At 45.4% G+C, this 18,299-nt stretch overlaps 1 long non-coding RNA gene across 1 annotated transcript, besides 3 other annotated features; it reads left to right on the top strand.

Annotated features, from left to right (window-relative positions):
• Positions 1-1,422: 1,422 nt before the first annotated feature.
• Positions 1,423-10,409, top strand: LOC124901369 (uncharacterized). The gene is made up of 2 exons (XR_007059697.1): positions 1,423-5,573; positions 10,121-10,409. It is a non-coding gene; the product is annotated as an uncharacterized LOC124901369 (long non-coding RNA).
• Positions 1,560-1,760: a silencer, noted in NCBI's record as "peak6010 fragment used in MPRA reporter construct". NCBI's record gives its function as "represses an SCP1 promoter by STARR-seq MPRAs in K562 erythroleukemia cells {active_cell/tissue: K562}" and the evidence as "EXISTENCE:reporter gene assay evidence [ECO:0000049][PMID:32103011]".
• Positions 5,302-5,381: an enhancer, noted in NCBI's record as "active region_24910". NCBI's record gives its function as "activates an Ori minimal core promoter by ATAC-STARR-seq in GM12878 lymphoblastoid cells {active_cell/tissue: GM12878}" and the evidence as "EXISTENCE:reporter gene assay evidence [ECO:0000049][PMID:35858748]".
• Positions 13,973-14,267: a silencer, noted in NCBI's record as "tiled region #5034; HepG2 Repressive non-DNase unmatched - State 22:ReprW". NCBI's record gives its function as "represses a minimal TATA promoter and a strong SV40 promoter by Sharpr-MPRA in HepG2 cells {active_cell/tissue: HepG2}" and the evidence as "EXISTENCE:reporter gene assay evidence [ECO:0000049][PMID:27701403]".

Genomic DNA, 18,299 nt, shown 5'->3' with positions numbered 1-18,299 from the left:
CTTCCTTCTTGTGGACAGGGCCTATGACTTTTTTTTTTTTTTTTTTTTTTTTTTTGAGATGGAGTGTCACTCTGTTCCCCAGGCTGGAGTGCAGTGGCGTGATCTTGGCTCACTGCAACCTCCGCCTCCTGAGTTCAAGCAATTCTTCTGCCTCAGCCTCCTGAGGTAGCTGGGATTACAGGCATGCGCCACCATGCCCAGCTAATTTTGTATTTTTTTAGTAGAGACGGGGTTTTACCATGTTGGTCAGGCTCGTCTCGAACTCCTGACCTCAAGTGATCCACCCGCCTCAGTCTCCCAAAGTGCTAGGATTACAGGCGTGAGCCACCGCGCCCAGCCGTGCCTATGACTTTCAATACAGTTACTGAATGAGTGAAAGGGTGAATGTTAAACAATTCCTATGTCCTTTGTTACGAATGGATAGGTTTGGTTTGGTTTTTCTAATAGTATTTTCACTTTGTCTCCCTAGTATGTTTTTTAGTTTTGATTTTAAGTTTAGGTGTAAGTAGCTCTTTTGGACATGCACAGCTTACTAGAAGTATCGTATTTTCCTAAACATAGCTGCCCACCACAATTACTCTCTTAGGACTGCATTTAGGATTTTCTTTTTTAAAGTTTCCCAAGTAATTCCAAAACTGTCAGGTTTAGTCATTTAGATAGGAGGCCCTATGATTTCCTTGAACTTGGCCAAATCCGATCTTACCTGGCTACTTAAGTCATTACAAAAAGAAATCAAGAAATTGAGAAAAAAGGACTTACCAGATCTTGAGAAATTACTTTTGTAAATCCTGATTTACAGAAAGTGAAGTTTGCTTTATTCCAACCTTGCTAAGAAAATAAGACTGATTTGGAGGCCAGGGAAATTAATTTAAAAGCACAAAGGAAGCTTAGAGGATGCTGGGCAACAACACCTCATCCCAGATGCTCTTTACTGTAGAGTGAGTGCCAGAAATGAAAGCGACCCAGTGGACTCAACTAGCAACACCAAGCACTTGATTGTGCAAAGTGCTAACAGACAGGAGAGATCGAACACCAGTCATGAAAAGACTCACTAAGAGGGACAGTAGTCATCGCAAATGTGAGGACAAGAAGGGACACAGCAGTTCAGGTGGATGGAAGGGAATGGCCAGAATGAAATAATTCTGGTTTAAGCTTCTACAGGTAAAAAGCTTGAAAGTTGGCACCAAGCCTGGCACAGTGGTGTGCACCTGTAATCACAGCACTTTGGGAGGCCGAGGCAGGCAGATTACTTGAGCCCAGGAGTTCAAGACCAGCCTGGACAACATGGCAAAACCCAGTCTCTATAAAAATAAAAAAATTAGCCAGGGATGGTGGTACACACCTGCAGTCCCAACTACTTGGGAGACTGAGGTGGGGGATCCCCTGAGCCTGGGAGGGTGGGGCTGCAGTGAGCCATGATTGCGCTGCTGCACTCCAGCCTGGGTGACAGAGTGAGACCCTGTCTCAAGAGAAAAAGTTATCACTTTGTCCTTTCAACAAGAAAAATCTGTACAAATGCAAAATCAATGACTTTTCTTGGACCCATCAGAGAATTGAGGTTGAAGGGCAAACCACCACCCTAAAATCTGGAGAAACAGGGCTATCTAAAGAGAGACAGCCAAAATCTGCTTATCTGGAGCAAAAGCTACTGGAGCCATAAGCTAGTTAGAAACACTTAGATGGCAATGAATTGCTAGCGGCTGAGTGTGGGTGAGCGTGAGAGTGAGAAGTCCCTGGGGATCACAGTGTTAAGAGGGGTCTCCACAAGTTCGTGGGCTTCACCTCCAAGAATCCCACCACATTTTCAGTGAAGATCTAGTAAGATGTGTGGCTCTGACGTGGAAAAGGGATTAATAATCATTATGAAATAATGTCCAAAACCTTTATTACGAAGGCTTACTCTCCAGGGTGAAAGACTCCCAGAGCCTATCCCAGTTGGGGGAAGGGCGTTCTTCCCACTCTAGCCCCCCTCTAGGCTTCCTGTCTTACTTACATGGGGCAGGGATGGGAACTTAGTCAAGAGGGGTCAGGATTTCAAGGAAATAGACTGGAAATGCTGCAGCCAGGGAAGGGAGTAGGGGGCCAGAAAGGAAACGCTCTACCACTGGAAAAACACTTGTGAAGCTCACAGGCCCACTAAGACACAGATTTAATCTGAAGATTATAGAATATCCCACTTCCCACACTTTACCACCGCACCAGTGGGATTCGAGTGTAATCGTAGTGGATTACAGCTGGAAGTCCCCCTTTGTGGAGGAGTAATTAGGGAAACCCAAAGTTAAGAGACAGGCAAAAGCAAAGACACTAGAGGAAGGTGAAGCCTCTGGCACCTGTAACTACAGCAAACATTAAACATAGTCCGTCCTCCAGCAAGATTACCATGAACCTTCACACTTAAGGCCTGTCTACCTCAGTTTCTATTACCCAGTGCAACATACCTGGCTTTCAACAAAAAATTTGAAGGCATGCCATGCCAAAAAGCAAGTAAAAACAGTTTGAAAAGAGAAAGCAATCAGAACCAGAGTTGGATATGACACAGATTCCCTGTTTGATAATTATAACCTAACATATTAAAAGTTGTAATGGAAAAAGTAGACGTGCAAGAATAGATGGGTAATCAGAGAGATGGAAACTCAAAAGGAAATGCTAAAAATCAAAATCACTATAATAAAAATGAAAAATGTTTTTGATGGACTCATAAATAGACTTGACAAATTTAGGAAACAATTAGTGAATTTGAAGGTAGGTCAATAAGAACTTCCCAAACTGAAATGGGAAGAGAAAGAGTAGGATAAAAACCCAGACCATCCAAAAACTGGGATCATTTCAAAAGGTATAGCAAATGTGTAATTGGAATACCTGAAAGAGAGTAGAGCAAAAAAATATATACAGTTGAACAATGCAGGGGTTAGGTGTGCCAACCCTGCATATAGTTGAAAATTTGCATATAACTTTTGACTCCCCCAAAATTTAATAGCCTAGTTTTCCAGAAGCCTTACTGATAATATACTTAACACATATTTTGTATGTTACATGTATTGTGTACTGTATTCTTAAAGTAAGCTAAAGAAAATGTTACTAAGAAAATCATAAGGAAGAGAAAACATATTCACTATTCATTAAGTGGAAGTGGATCACCGTAAAGGTCTTCATCCTCATCTTCATGTTGAGTAGGCTGAGGAGGAGGAAGAGGAGGAAGAGGAGGGGTTGGTCTTGCTGTCTCAGGGGTGGGGAGGCAGAGAGGTGGAGGAGGTGGAAGGGGAGGCAGGAGGGACAGGCACATTCTGTTACTTTTATTGAAAAAGGCTACGTATGAGTGGGCCTGCGCAGTTCAAACCTGTATTGTTCAAACTGTCTACATGTTTGAAGTAATAATGGCTGAGACCTTTCCAAAATTGGTGAACCAAACCACAGATCCAGGATGCTGAGAGAACACCAAGCGGAATAAATTTAAAAAGAATAACCTTGTTGGTAAAAAAAAAAAAAATAACAAAAACACCTAGGGATGTCATGTATGTCACGTTCAAACTGCAAAAAACCAAAGACCAAGATAAAATCTTGAAAGAAGTCAGAGAAAAAAGTAAAATAAGGGACTGCTGGCTTGACAGTTTGTAAGTATCTTTTATCACTAGTCTTGAGAACAGAGGTGGTAATATTTTATAATACCTGGAGTCTAATTTGAATGGGAAAACGGTGTATCTTTAATATTTTTTTCTTCTGCTCTAAGGAAGAGAGTTAGGGGGTCATATTTAATATTCTGTAACTGAAATTAATTATTTCTTCCATTATGAATGTGGAAGTAAACCAGAGTATTAGTAGAAGCAGGACTTTTGACTGTCACCAATTAGAAAATGCAAGTATATTAATTATATCACATTTGTTGTTGCAAATCTTGGAATACACTGATCACTGCTTGAAAATTATTGTAGTTATCAGACTCACTCCCTGATCTTGTTTAATTTTTTTTTTTTTTTTTTTTTTTCAGACAGGGTCTCACTCTGTCACCCAGGCTAGAGTGCAGTGGTGCAATCTCGGCTCACTGCAGCCTCCGCCTCCCGGGTTCAAGCGATTCTCCAGCCTCAGCCTCCCAAGTAGCTGGAACTACAGGCACACACATGCCTAATTTTTTGTTTTGTTTTGTTTTTCAGTAGAGTCAGGGTTTCACCATGTTGGCCAGGCGGGTCCCAAACTCCTGGCCTCAAGTGATCCGCCCTCCTCGGCCACCCAAAGTGCTGGGATTACAGGCGTGAGCCACCGCACCCAGCTTGTTTAACATTTTCCAAAGAAGCACATATTTTATCACAAGTTTTAAAAATATTTTAATAAACATACTTCAATAAGTTGGTTTCTTTTATAATCCCATGTATTTTATTTTATACTTTTACAAACAGATATTTGAGTAGGGATCTTTACAAACACGTTTAAGAAGCCCTAATGTAAAAACTCTGAATGCTCCTGTCACAGAGTAAGATCTGAAGTGCCTGGAGTTAGTCTGACGTGGAACAGGTTCACTTGGTGGTCAGGTGTGTGTGCAAGGGGGAGCAGGAGCAGGAGAGACAGAAAGAGATTGGTGATCCGACCACCTATTGAGTGTTTAGGTTTCGGTGTAGGCTTTTACATGTATTACCTCATTTAATTCTCAAAACAACCCTATTGGATGGGTATTATCTTCATTTTACCAAGAGAGGAAATGGGACAGAGTTTAATTTGTCCAAGGTCACACAGCCAGTAAAAAGTACAATTGGGATTTAAACCCAAGTCTTTGTGATTCTAAAACCTGCACCTGTGCGATGGATGCTGCCTCCAAGCTGGACCGTGTGCAGCTTGGCCAAGGCCCATGCCGAACACTCGCCCTGACAGCTGCTGCCTGCAGACTCCTGGACTCTACACCCGTCGTGCTCACACAGTTGCCTTGGTGCCAGTGTTATCAAAGAGGCCAACACGAGCAGAGGCTCACGTTGAGCTAAAGAAAAATTAAACATTTAAGAGAATTCAGTTATAAAGCTGGAATGGCCGTTCCTGCTTGACAGATGTAAACACTGCAGCTTTGTCATTACTTAGCTAGTTGTCTCAGCACATGTCCTTTCCTTTCTAGCTAGATTATACTTTAATCCAGTTGTTTTCATGTTCACTAAATCCAAACCATGTTTAACCGGTTTATTCATTGGAGAGTCTCTGAGGTGAAGAAAGTTTTGTCCTTTCAACTTCACTGGGGATTTGCTGTCTTCTTTCTGCAAAGGGATTTTCCTGAATCTGTAATCTGAACACTTTGACCTGTGAGGGTTTTTCCCCCAACTAGGAGCAAATCTGTGAGGCTTGACCCTTTGTGTGCTGTGGAGCAGAGACAATGCCCTTCTGTGAATGTCTTCTCCTCTTGAGGACAGTAGTAATTGGCGACAGGAATGTTAATCATTTGGCAAGCGCTTCTTCATGGCCTTGCTGCCCTTTGCCACTGCAGCCAGCTCCCTGCTTGCCTCTACTCCCTCGAGAATGGAGCCGCCATTTTGTAGCAGCTTTCTAGAGAAGTTTTTTTCAAGAGCACTTTGAGAGTTGACAGTCTGACTTAAACTGAGGTAAGTGAATACCAGTTCACTCTCAGACCACAGTCTGTGTTGATGATACAACAGGTCCTCACACACATTGTCTGGTGGGAGGATAAATTGGTACAACTTCTATGGAAGGCAATTTGGCAATAACTATGAAAACTATATGCCCAGGAATCCCACTTCTAGGAATTTATCTCAGAGACACACTTTCTATTTGGAGATATATTTGTAGAATATACATTTTCTTTGAATATTAATTGAATATATCTGAAAGATTATATAAGAAACAGATAACATTGAACGTTGGTTGTCTGGCTTGGGGACTGGGTGGCTCAATGACTCGGGCAAAAGGAAAACATTACTTTAAAAACAAAAAACACAAAAACCCTTTTTATTTTGGAATAATTTTTTTTTCTTTGAGACAGAGTCTTGCTCTTGTCGCCCAGGCTGGAGTGCAGTAGCACAATCTCAGCTCACTGCAACCTCCACATCCCAGGTTCGAGTGATTCTCATGCCTCAGCCTCCCAAGTAGCTGGGATTACAGGCACCTGCCACCACGCCTGGTTAATTTTTGTATTTTTAGTAGAGACGGGGTTTCACCATCTTAACCAGGCTGGTCTCAAACTCATGACCTCAGGTGATCCACCCACCTTGGCCTCCCAAAGTACTGGGATTATAGGCATAAGCCACTGTGCCTGGCCTATTTTGGAATAATTTTAGATTTACAGAAAAGTTGTAAGAGTACAAAGAGTTATATACCCCTTCATGCTGACATCTTACAGGACCATGGCATATTTGTCAAAACTAAGAACCTAGCACTGGGCCAGGTGTGGTGGCTCACACCTGTAATCCCAACACTTTGGGAGGCCAAGGTGGGCGATCACTTGAGACCATGAGTTCGAGACCAGCTTGGTCAACATAGTAAAACCCCATCTCTACCAAAAACACAAAAATTAGCCGAGCATGGTGGTACACACCTGTAATCCCAGCTACTCAGGAGGCTGAGGCCAGAGAATCGCTTGAACCCAGGAGGCAGAGGTTGTAGTGAGCCGAGATTGTGCCACTGGACTCCAGCCTGGGCAACAGAGTGAGACTCCGTCTCAAAAAAAAAAAGAAAGAAAGAAAGAAACTAGCATTGGTACATTGTTACTAACCAAATTCCAAACTTTGACTTTCACTAATTTTTTTTAAAATTATTTTTCAAATTTTTTTAGAGATGGGGGTGCGGGTCTCACTGTGTTGCCCATGCTGGTCTCCAACTCCTGGGCTCAAGTGATCCACTCATCTTGGCCTCCCAAAGTGCTGGGATTACAGGTGTGAGCCACAGTGCTGGGCCACTTTCACTAGTTTTTAAAGAATATCCTTTTTCTGTTCCAGGATCCATTCCAGGAAACCATATTTCACTTAGTCCTCCTGTCTCTTTAGTTTCCTGGTCTCTGACATATATATCCTTTTGAGCTTTGTATCATGTGACTATTAACTATTCAAAAAGTAAATTAATTTTTTTTTTTTTTTGAGGTGGAGTCTCACTCTGTCGCCTAGGCTGGAGTGCAGTGGCGCCATCTCGGCTCACTACAACCTCTGCCTCCCGGGTTCAAGCGATTCTCCTGCCTCAGCCTGAGTAGCTGGGATTACAGGCAAGTGCCACCACACCCAGCTAATTTTTGTATTTTTAGTAGAGACAGGGTTTCACCATGTTGGTCAGGCTGGTCTCAAACTCCTGACCTTGTGATCCGCCCGCCTCAGCTTCCAAAGTGCTGGGATGACAGGTGTGAGCCATTGCACCCGGCCAAAAACAAGTCAATTTTTTAAAAGAAATAGACTTGGAAGGTGCTAGGATGTTAGAACTATAACAAATCTTAGAAGCAATCTCATCTAAGCCTCTCATTATGGGAAGGGACTTGTCCAAGGGCCTCCCCTAACAGCCGACCTGGGGCTCAGACTAGAAACCAAGGGGAGAGGCCTGGGATTCAGGGAGCTGGGGGGCCGTTGGGGAGTGGTTGAAAGAACACAGGCTTTGAAGTCACCCAGACTTGGGCCAGTCACTACACTTCTATTCGGACTGGCTTCTTTCGCTCCACATAATGTTTTAAGAGTCATCCATGTTGCACACATATCAATGATTTGCTTAAAAGACCAAAAAAATTAAAAATAGTTCCTTGAAGTATTCCTGATTTCTAAGAATTTACTGAGAAATGGAAATATGTTTCTCTATCCTGGATCTGTACTCGTGCAGAAATGCGACACCACTGACCACTCTCTAACCTTCCCATAGTCATTCCCACACATTTCAGCACCAAACAGAAGCTTGCCTGGTGCACTTTGTCCTCAGCCCTGGCACTGCTGCTGGGGAGGGCCTGCGGGGAAGCAGTTGGCAAGAGCACTGTGAGACAAAGCCCTCGGGCAGGGGGAATCAGAAGAAAGCCTCAAATGTAAACACTGAGTCAGTACCTCCATATTAAGAAAGAAGCAGGGGAAATTAGCCGGGCGTGGTGGCGTGTGCCTATGGTCCCAGCTACTCAAGAGGCCAAGGTGGGAGGGTGGCTTGAGCCCAGGGGGTCAAGGCAGCAGTGAGCTGTGCACCACTGCACTCCATCCAGCCTGGGTGACAGAGCGAAACCACGTCTCTAAATAAATAAATTAAATAATGCAAATTAAAAACTACGTGATAGATTTTTTTGAAAATGTAGATGAAAAGACAACTTAAAGGCCCAGGTGGGAGGATCCCTTGAGGCAAAGAGTTTGAGACCAGTCTGGGATTCTACCCTGTCTCCAGGCAGGAGAATCACTTGAACCTGGGAGGCAGAGGTTGCGGTGAGCCAAGATCACACCACTGCACTCCAGCCTGGGCGACAAGAGCGAAACTCCGTCCCCCCACCACCACCGCCAAAAAAATTCAAACTGTCCAGATCTTGTCTTGCAGGCCTGCTGACCTCCATGACTGTACCTCTCTGGAGGAAGAAGGCACTGACAGTGTGAGGTCCAGCCTCCCGGGCCCCGGGGGTCAGGTCCTAAAGCTTCCTCTTCTCTCTTTGATTCTCTCCCAGAGACAGGCAGCACCTCCTAGAGTGAATGTGTGCACCACATAAAAATTCAAAGCAAATGGAAATTTTAGTAAATTTGCCAATTCCACTAACATATGCATTTGAGAATCCTTTTTGAAATAAAGGACTACAGTCCTAGAGAATAATTTGTTGATTTTTCAGAGCTGATGTATCTAGTTACACAGCTTCAATTTCTTTGGTAGGTTTTACCATTGCGCCCTTCCTTTCATGCCGTGAATCTGTATTAATAAGGCAATTAAGGCCAGCCTCAGTGGCCCATGCCTGCAATCCCAGCACTTTGGGAGGCTGAGGTGAGTGAATTGCTTGGGCCCAGGAGTTCAAGACCAGCCTGGGCAACATAGGAAGACCTTGTCTCTACAAAAAATACAAAAATTAGCTGGGCGTGGTGGTGCCCACCTGTAGTCCTAGCTACTCAGGAGGCCGAGGTGGGAGGATCGCTTGAGCCCAACAGATGCAGCCTGCAGTGAGATGAGATCATGCCACTGCACTCCATCCTGGGTAACAAACCAAGACCAGCTCTCAAAAAAAAGTAAAATAAAATAAAATAAGGTAATTAAGAAACAAAACTAAAATTAAGACAATATGAGGGATATGAAGCTGATGAGAAAATGTAAGTTGGTTTTTATCCCCTCAGAAACCAGGCAACATATATATTTAAATTATCACCCCAGTTATTTTATTGGTCATTTATAACGATTCTTATGGCTTGTACTTAAATGCTGCCATCACGCCGACTGCAGCAGGGAGGCACGGCTGGGGCTGCACACTCCGTGGAGCCAGTCAGAGCCCCATCGGGAGCTCTGCCCTTTCTGAGTTGGGATGGGAACTCCCAGAGCTGCCGCAGCCTCCCAAACCACAGCTGCAGACCCAGGCCTCCTGCTCTGTGGAGCAGGCAGGAGTCCCACGACTCCTGGGCGGGGCTACAGCCACCCAAACTGCAGCTGTGAATTCGAGGCTCCTTATGCTCTTGGAGGAGGGCTGGGTGCAGGCAGGATCTGCTGAGACTACAGCCACCCTCCTAGGCACAGGACCCGGCGTCTCTGCAGCCTGTACCCTCGGGGGGCCCCAGGAAGGAAACTCCCCGCCCCAATCCCTGCAGATTGGGGGGTGTCTGCTCCCACTGCCTGGCCCTCCTAGGTGCTGGACCTCTGCATCGCTGCAGCCTGCACATTCAGAGGCCCCAGGAAGGACACTCCCCACCTCCTCCGCATCCCTACAGGTTCGAGGGTGTCTGTTCCCACTGACTGGCCTCTCTCCACTCCTGGCGCCTGCTCCTATCTTGGAGTGGTGTTGGGGCTGAGCCCCCCGGGCCTTGAATGGCAGTGGCAGACAGAGTCCTGGCCTGAAGGGGGCAGGTCCCCAGCAAGGCCCCACTTGCAGGCCAGAGAGGGCTTGAAGGCTGAAGGCCAGGCTGCCAGTCCCACAGACTGGAGTGGGGACTGGTGGTGCCTCTTCACGGCACCCATGGCCGCCCATGGACCAATTGGCACCCACTTCCTCCCCTCTGAGGTCCATGAAAGCTGGGTTCAGCCAGAGCAGGGCAGAGGATGGCCAGAGGAGAAGAGGGCAGAGAGACGATGGGAAGACAAGACGACCCTCTCTGCTGAGAGCTTCAGAGACCTGCAGAGACATCCAAATGACCTGCCTGCAGAGAGGAGCCAACCCCTCCAGGGCCTCCTCTCTGCTGAGAGCTGAACACTCCATGGGATGATCTGCCTGCAAAGAGGAGCTACCCACTGTGGGTCTCCTCTGAGCTGTTTTAACACTAAATAAAACTCTTCATCTTCTTCACCCTTCACTTGTCTGTGTACCTCATTCTTCCTGGATGCAGGACAGAAACTCAGGCCACAGAGGTTTCTAGCCAGAAAAATCAACACCCCAGAGATCCCATAACAAAGCGAAGAATAAGTTCATGACCGTGGCCCTGAAACAAAACTCAGGCTAGGACATGGCAGGTGGCTGGGCTGGTCACTGACTTGATTTTTCAGACGTGGCAGCTCCCTCTCTCTTTCTGAAAGAAGTTGAGCTGCAGCCAGATTTTGGGTGGAATCATATGGCAGTTACTCCAAGTGCTCACCATAGTCTACTCGTGGTCATCTGGTGGTTTCTGGAGCCATTTTCTGGGCCCAGCCTCACTCCGGGGCCTGCTTGCTCAGCCTCTGCTTATAGCTGGGCTAGACCCAGATTTGGGAGGTTTAAGGCAAATAAAGGAAGGTAAGGCAGGCATTTTCCTTTCTGCAGATAATTCTGGACCACCAAGACACCAAAGAGGAGGAAAGTGAACAGGTCAAAGAGACTGCCAGACGGTTTCGGCTTGGGAGAGAAGAGATGCTGGCAAGTGCAGCCTGTGTGTGCAGAGAGAGAGGCCCGGGCTGCCAGGAGCAAGGCCCAGCATGAGCCAAGCCATCCCTCACTGCCCCCTTCCCTGTGCTGACTGCCCAGATCTCCACCAGCTGCAAAATGTGGGCCCTTCGTACTACCCCATCATCTGAGTATTGAGTTACTGGAACAAAGGCACCTGGAGCAGATGTGACCTAGAGCCACAAGGTGCTGACATGTCCTGCGGCACGGCCTTCCAGGAGAGCCAGTGCCCAGGTGGGGGAGAACAGCCCCGTGGAGAAGCAGCTCCAGTGTGACCCACAGTTGTTGTTGTTTTTTCTTTTCTTTTTCTTTTCTTTCTTCTTTTTTTTTTTCCAGGGTCAGGATCTCTGTTGCCTGGGCTGGAGTGCAATGGCACAAACAAAACTTATTGCAGCCTTGAACTCCTGGGCTCTAGCCATCCTTCTGCCTCAGCCTCCCAAGCAGCTAGGATTACAGGAATAAGCCACCGCACCTGGTCCACCCACATGTGAGATACACACACACACACACACACACACACACACACACATATGCATATATATGTGTGCGTGTATATGTATTTCACATATATATATATATATATATATATATTTTTTTTTTTTTTTGAGACAGTCTCATTCTGTCACACAGGCTGGAGTGCAGTGGCGGGATCTCCGCTCACTGCAATTTCCGCCTCCCGGGTTCAACTGATTCTCCTGCCTCAGCCTCCCTAGTAGCTGGGATTACAGGTTTGCACCAACACGCCCAGCTATTTATATTTTTTGTATTTTTAGTAGAGATGGGGTTTCACCATGTTGCCCAGGCTGGTCTTGAACTCCTGGCTTCAGGTGATCCGCCTACCTCGGCCTCCTAAAATGCTGGGTTACAGGCATGAGCCACTGCGCCCAGCCCCTACACACGATTTTTGAAGAGATATTAACTCTAATCTTCTGCCCAACCTTGGTGTTAATTGGAAAGGAAGATGAAAGCAACTGCTCTTGGTGTTTCTGTGGTGGCTGTAACCAAGCCCCTATCATTGATGGTCCCTGAAGAAACTCAGCAAGCCTCAGGGCAGTGTTTCAGGAAGTACAGAGTGAGGACCAATGGCATCAGGGTTGTGAAATGCAGGTGCCAGGGCCCTACCTCACACTTGCTGAGTCCCACTCTTAGGAGGTAAGAACTGGGAATCTAATCTCCACGGGTAAGTCATAGTCATGCTGTTTCGTATATTGCGAACTGATTTCCTTAAACATTTTTGTTGGGCCTAATTAGCCAAAACAGTGAGTGGCAGGTAAAATGATGGCACACACCAAGTAACAGAATTATTATGCAAACACCAAAAGGAATTCTAGACTTCATAACCACTACTAACAATGTCAGTGATCGAATGTTAAGAGGGCTATCAGAATGCAAAACATGTTTACTCTGATTACAATTATGTTAAAATACATAGGTACATGTGCAGGAAATAGAAAAAAATAGGCAAAAATAAAATAGTTGTATTAGAGAAGTAGAATTATAGGTGATTTATCCCTCTCCAGATTTTCCTATAGTGTTATCAAAAAAAAAAAAAAGGCTGGATGCAGTGGCTCATGCCACTTTGGCAGTAATCCCAGCACTCTGGGAGGCTGAGGTGGGCAGATCACTTGAGGTCAGGAGTTCGAGACCAGCCTGGCCAACATGGTGAAACTAAAATACAAAACTAAAAATACAAAAATTAGCCGGACGTGGTGGTGGGCGCCTGTAATCCCAACTACTCAGGAGGCTGAGGCAGGAGAATTGCTTGAACCAAGGAGACGGAGGTCGCAGTGAGCTGTGATTGCGCCACTGCACTCCAGCCTGGGCGACGGAGTGATACTCCATCTTAAATAAATAAATAATGAAAATAAAAATAAATCACTTTCATGTTGTTACAATGTTGTATTTGAAATAAAATAGGGCTGGGCGTGGTGGCTCATGACTGTAATCCCAGCCCTTTGGGAGACTAAGGTGGGCAGATCACTTGAGGCCAGGAGTTCGAGACCAGCCTGGTTAACATGGTGAAACCCCATCTCTACTAAAAAATACAAAAATTAGCCAGGCATGGTGGCATGCACCTGTAATCCCAGCTATCTGGGAGACTGAGGCAGGAGAATAGCTTGAACCTGGGAGGCAGAAGTTGCAGTGAGTGGAGATCTCACCACTGCACTGCAGCCTAGGTGACAGAGTGAGACGCTGTCTCAAAAACAGAAAAAAAAGAGAGAGAGAGAGAATAACTACCCTATCACCTCTGGCATACATACCACTTACCATGTATCTATAAAATATTCCACAAGGCACTGCATGGGTCAGAAATGTCTTCAGACAGCCCAGCCCTCCCAGAAGGGAAGGTCAGCCCTTGTCCTGGGGCACTGTGATTCTGCAGCTCGCTGCATGTGGAAGGAGCATGGAGTTACCTGGGCTGCGGGGAGCCGCAGAGGGTGCATTGCATCAGGTTCAGCTGCCATTTTTGTTGCCCTAAACAAAGTTCCAAGGAGACTAGGGAAGGATGGATCACCTCCTTGGGTCTGACAGTCTCAACCCCACTTCTGAACTACAGATAATCTGGGCCCACTGCCCCTCCTCAGCCAGACATGGGTTGCCTAGTGTATACAGAATTCTCTGATCTTCCTTATCCCAGGGATGCTGTGAGAGACCTTCCTTCCTATTGCAGAGCTTGGGGTGAGCCTGGAGTCCCATTGGCAAGAACTGGCTTCCTTATTTTGATATTCAGGGAAGAGGAAGACTGAAGCTTTCTAGCCCCTGGGGGAAGTTTTGGGAGTCAGCTCAAGGGGGACAGAGCCCTCCCTGCACCCCAGGCCCTCCCTACCTCCAGCCTCCCACAGACCCTGGATGCTCTGCTCCAAATCACAGGCTGCTGCCAATTACAAAAGGACTCTTAACTCCTTTTTGCAGCCCCTTGATTGATAGCACTGGTGAGTAAAATTATAAGCCTTAATGATCATGTTAATTTCTGGGGAAAGGGAAGCGGTCAGAAGAGGTTCTCAATCATAAGCGCCACAATCAGCTGGGTGAGTTCAATGACAAGCCAGAGCAAAAAAGAGGGGAAAGAATTAACTTTTTAAAAGGTCACCAGAGAGTAGGGGGGAGAGCAACCAGGCATGACGGATGAGAGCACAGATGACTCTGGAGCCTGAAGATAAGCCCCTTTTCCAGGATTCTTGACCAAAGGCCAGCATCGGTGCTTCTCATCCTTAGCTGCACACTGGAATTGCTTTAAAAACACTGATGCCAGCCAGGCGCGGTGGCTCAAGCCTGTAATCCCAGCACTTTGGGAGGCCGAGGCGCATGGATCATGAGGTCAGGAGATCGAGACCATCCTGGCTAACATGGTGAAACCCCGTCTCTACTAAAAATACAAAAAAAAAAAAAAATTAGCCGGGTGCGGTGGTGGGTGCCTGTAGTCTCAGCTACTGAGGAGACTGAGGCAGGAAAATGGCATGAACCTGGGAGGAGGAAGTTGCAGCGAGCTGAGATAGCGCCACTGCACTCCAGCCTGGGCAACAGAGTGAGACTCCATCTCAAAAAACAAACAAGCAAAAAACCACTGATGCCTGGGCCCTGCCCCAGAAATGCTAGTGTAATCTATCTGGGGTACAGCTTGGGCACCGAGCATTTTTAACACTCCCCAGGTGATTCCATGTGCAACAAAGATTGAGAAGGACCAGTTTAAAAGAAGCAAGTGGCCAAGGTTGAACACATTTGCAAATGTGCTTAATCTGATTTGTTCTTTTATTCTTTTCTTTCCTTTCCTTCCTTTCCTTTCCTTCCTCTCTCTTTTCTTCCTTTCTTTCTTTTCCTGTCTTTTCTTTCCCTTTCCCTTCCCATCTTTCTTTTCTTTCTTTTTCTCACTATGTTGCCCAAGCTGGTCTCAAACTCCTGGCCTCAAGCAATCCTCCCACTTTGGCCTCCCAAAGTGCTGGGATTACAGGTATGAGTCACTGCACCTGGGCACTCTGATTAACTCTTCCCACAAAGGAGAATTTCTTCTAGGGTCTCCTGGCACCACACCAGTTAAAGATGATGATGAGATTTTAGAACAGAAGGAGGAAAATTAGACATCACTGAGCCTAATACTCCTTTCACAGATGAAAACCCAGAGGTGCAAACAGGTTAGCTGACCTGCCAGAGATCACACTGGTCACAGCTGGAAACTCAGTCTCTTCCCCCTGACCAATGCTCCTTCTACTAGGCCCATTGCTGTGTCAAACAAGATGCTCTGCTCTGACCATCAGGGGTCAGGAGCTGTGAGCTATTTTCTAGGCTGCATGGTAGAAGAGTCCAGGTCTCTCCTGACTCTTGCTCAGTTTCCTGGGACATAGTGTTTGACAGATATTAGAGATACCAGTTCCATGGACAGAATAAGGCCACCTGGTTCACCTGAAAATCCAACCTATGACCTTAGTCTCCTCAATACATTGACTCCACCCATGGTTTCCCAGCAGAGCATTGCAACATCTTGGCACATCATGAAGATGCCCAGGATATGTGACAACATCCTTGTTTCTTCATCTGAGAGTCTGCCCTCTGCTACATTGCTGCCGAGCCTGCCTAACAGTGTGTGGTGAAAGCTCTGATGAGACTCCCTGATGGTCTATATTGAGGTCAGCAATATTCAATATTCAGCAATGTTACAAAATGAGTTTCAAAAATCTGAAAACATTATTAAAAATGAAGACTACATTGAAAAGAAGCCATTTGTAATTTGTGGTAAAGGTACTGGAGTTATTCAGTTAAAGAGAGTTGTTGTTCTTCAATTTCCATAAATGATTGTTTTTTAAAAGGTATTGTAAAATGCATAGTACAAGATCCTTAGAGCAGCATCTTAGTAGTAGAAAGCATGAGCCAGCCAAGTGCAGTGACTCACACCTGTAATTCCAGTGCTTTGGGGGGCTGAGGTAGGAGAATCACTCGAGGCCAGGATCTGAAACAAGCCTTGCCAACATAGCTTAGACCCTGTCTCTACAAAAAAAAAAAAAAAAAAAAATTTAGTAAAAAATTTAGCTGAGCATGGTGGCATGCACATTTACTCCTAGCCTACTCAGTAGGCTGAGATGGGAGAAGTCCTTGAGCCCAGGAGTTGGAGGCTGCAGTGAGCTGTGATTATACCACCGCACTCCAGCCTGGGCGACAAAGCAAGACTCTGTCTCAAAAAAAAAAAAAAAAAAAAATTATCATGCCTATAATCACAGAACTTTGGGAGGCTGAGATGGGCAGATCACTTGAGTCCAGGAGTTCAAGACCATCATGGGCAACATGGCGAGACCCCCATCTCTACAAAAAAATAGAAAAAAATTAGCCAAGCATGGTGGCGCATGCCTGTAGTACCAGTTACTTGGGAGCTGAGGTGGGAAGATCACTTAAGTCCAGGAGGCGGAGGTTGCAGTGAGCCTAGATGGAGCCACCGCACTCCAGCCTGGGTGACAGTGAGATACTATCTCAAAAAAAATTTTTTTAATTAAAATTTTAAAATAAAATAAAAAGCCTCAGCCAACCTGGTTCTACATTTTCACATTTTCATTTACCCTTTCTCTAAACCTTCACTGTAGCATGGGCACTCCCAAAAGTTCTTAGAAGTGGCCTGTGCTAAAAATTTGGTGGAACCAAGCTCTATCAGTACAGGGTGGGACCTACTTAATGAGTCCAGGAAGCATTGTAGCAGAGGCATATTCACAATAGAAACATATGCATTCTCTGTATTTTTCTAACAGCTTCTGAAGTGTTCATCAAGCCTGTGTCTGATTAAGCACTTTTAAATTCTGAGCAATGAAATGGGCCCTCTCATACCCTCTTGGCAGGAGTGCAAATTGATACAACCCTTTGGAGAGCCATTTGGCTGTATCTATCAAAATTAAAAATGCATATAATCTTTGACCCAGAAATGCCACTTCTAAGAGTTTATCCTACGGAAACACCCCCACAAACCCACAAAAGTGTATATGGAAGGTGAGTTCTTTGCAGTTTAATTTATTATAGTGAAACACTGCAAGCAACCCAAGTTCCTGAACAAGGAATTAGTTGGGTAAACAGTGGTCCATCCTTAAAATGGAATACTAGATAGATGTTAAATTGAATGAGGTAGAGCCATATGTATTCATCAGGAGAGATAGCCTTAGGCAAAAAAGAAACTTGCAGAAAAGTAGTGTTTCCATTTTTATAAAATGTTTAAGAAAGGCAGCCATGAGTAATCTCTGGCCAATGGATTCAGTGCTTGGGCTCCTACATTGGATTGAAAACCTTGAGCTATATGTAAAATAATTTAGGAGTCTCAATTCAGAGACTGAGCTCACCGCCTGTTCTCTCTCTTCTCTTGTATCAAAGGATAACTAAAAGTAAGTTAAACACAAATGTAAGACATCATATCTAATAGCCATGGTATGTAAATAACACTTTTGAAAAGTGACCCTCCAAGATTTAGAAAAAACATTTATCAAAGGAGAAGCATTAGGCTGGGCATGGTGGCTCACACCGGTAATCTCAGCACTTTGGGAGGCTGAGGAGGGTGGATCACCTAAGATCAGGAGTTTGAGACCAGCCTGGCCAACATGGGGAAACCCCATCTCTACTAAAAACACAAAATTAGCCAGGCGTGGTGGCGCACCCCTGCAATCCCAGCTACTCCAGAGGCTGAGACACGAGAATCACTTAGAATCCAGGAACTCGGGAGGTGGAGGTTGCAGTGAGCCGAGATCGGGCCATTGCACTCTACCCTGGGAGACAGAGTGAGACTCTGTCAAAAAAAAAAAAAAAAAAAAAGGAGAAGCATTGAAGACAATTTTTTCTTTCTTACTGGAATAATCATTTGGCTGAATGCATCTCTTATTTGTCCATTTGGATTGTATATCTTGAACTTGTGTATTCACGGACCACTGTTGAGCCTCCCCCACAACACCAGCCATAGAGAATATCTGCTACTGAGCTTTAAATTCTGGGCCTTCTCAAATGTTGAAAGCCAGGCTTGCTTTTTTTTTTTTTTTTAAATAATGACAGAGATGCCCAAAAGAAAAGCAATCCCAGTAGGAATCAGTATTCTGTGGCTTGTCACAAGAATCTTACTCCCTTTTAATTTTCCTGAGAATATTTATAATAGACTAAAGTAGATTGTGATTGTACTAGATTTTGTTATAGTTCAGTGAATCTTCTCTCCTCACTCCACCTCTACGGGAGGAGTGCACTTCTCTGCCCATTTAAGGTTGGGAAGGTTGACCATCGATCTTGCTGTGGCCGGGGGAAAGTAAGCAATGTGAAGTGAGTAGCAGCTGTAAATGTGTTTGCATCAGCCTCTTGCACTTCTGCACGTTGCCATGAA

The sequence above is a fragment of the Homo sapiens genome, chromosome 6 (assembly GCF_000001405.40).
Source record: "Homo sapiens chromosome 6, GRCh38.p14 Primary Assembly".
Taxonomy (NCBI): domain Eukaryota; kingdom Metazoa; phylum Chordata; class Mammalia; order Primates; family Hominidae; genus Homo; species Homo sapiens.
Note: the sequence above shows the minus strand (reverse complement) of the source record. Positions and strands in the feature narration are given on the sequence as shown.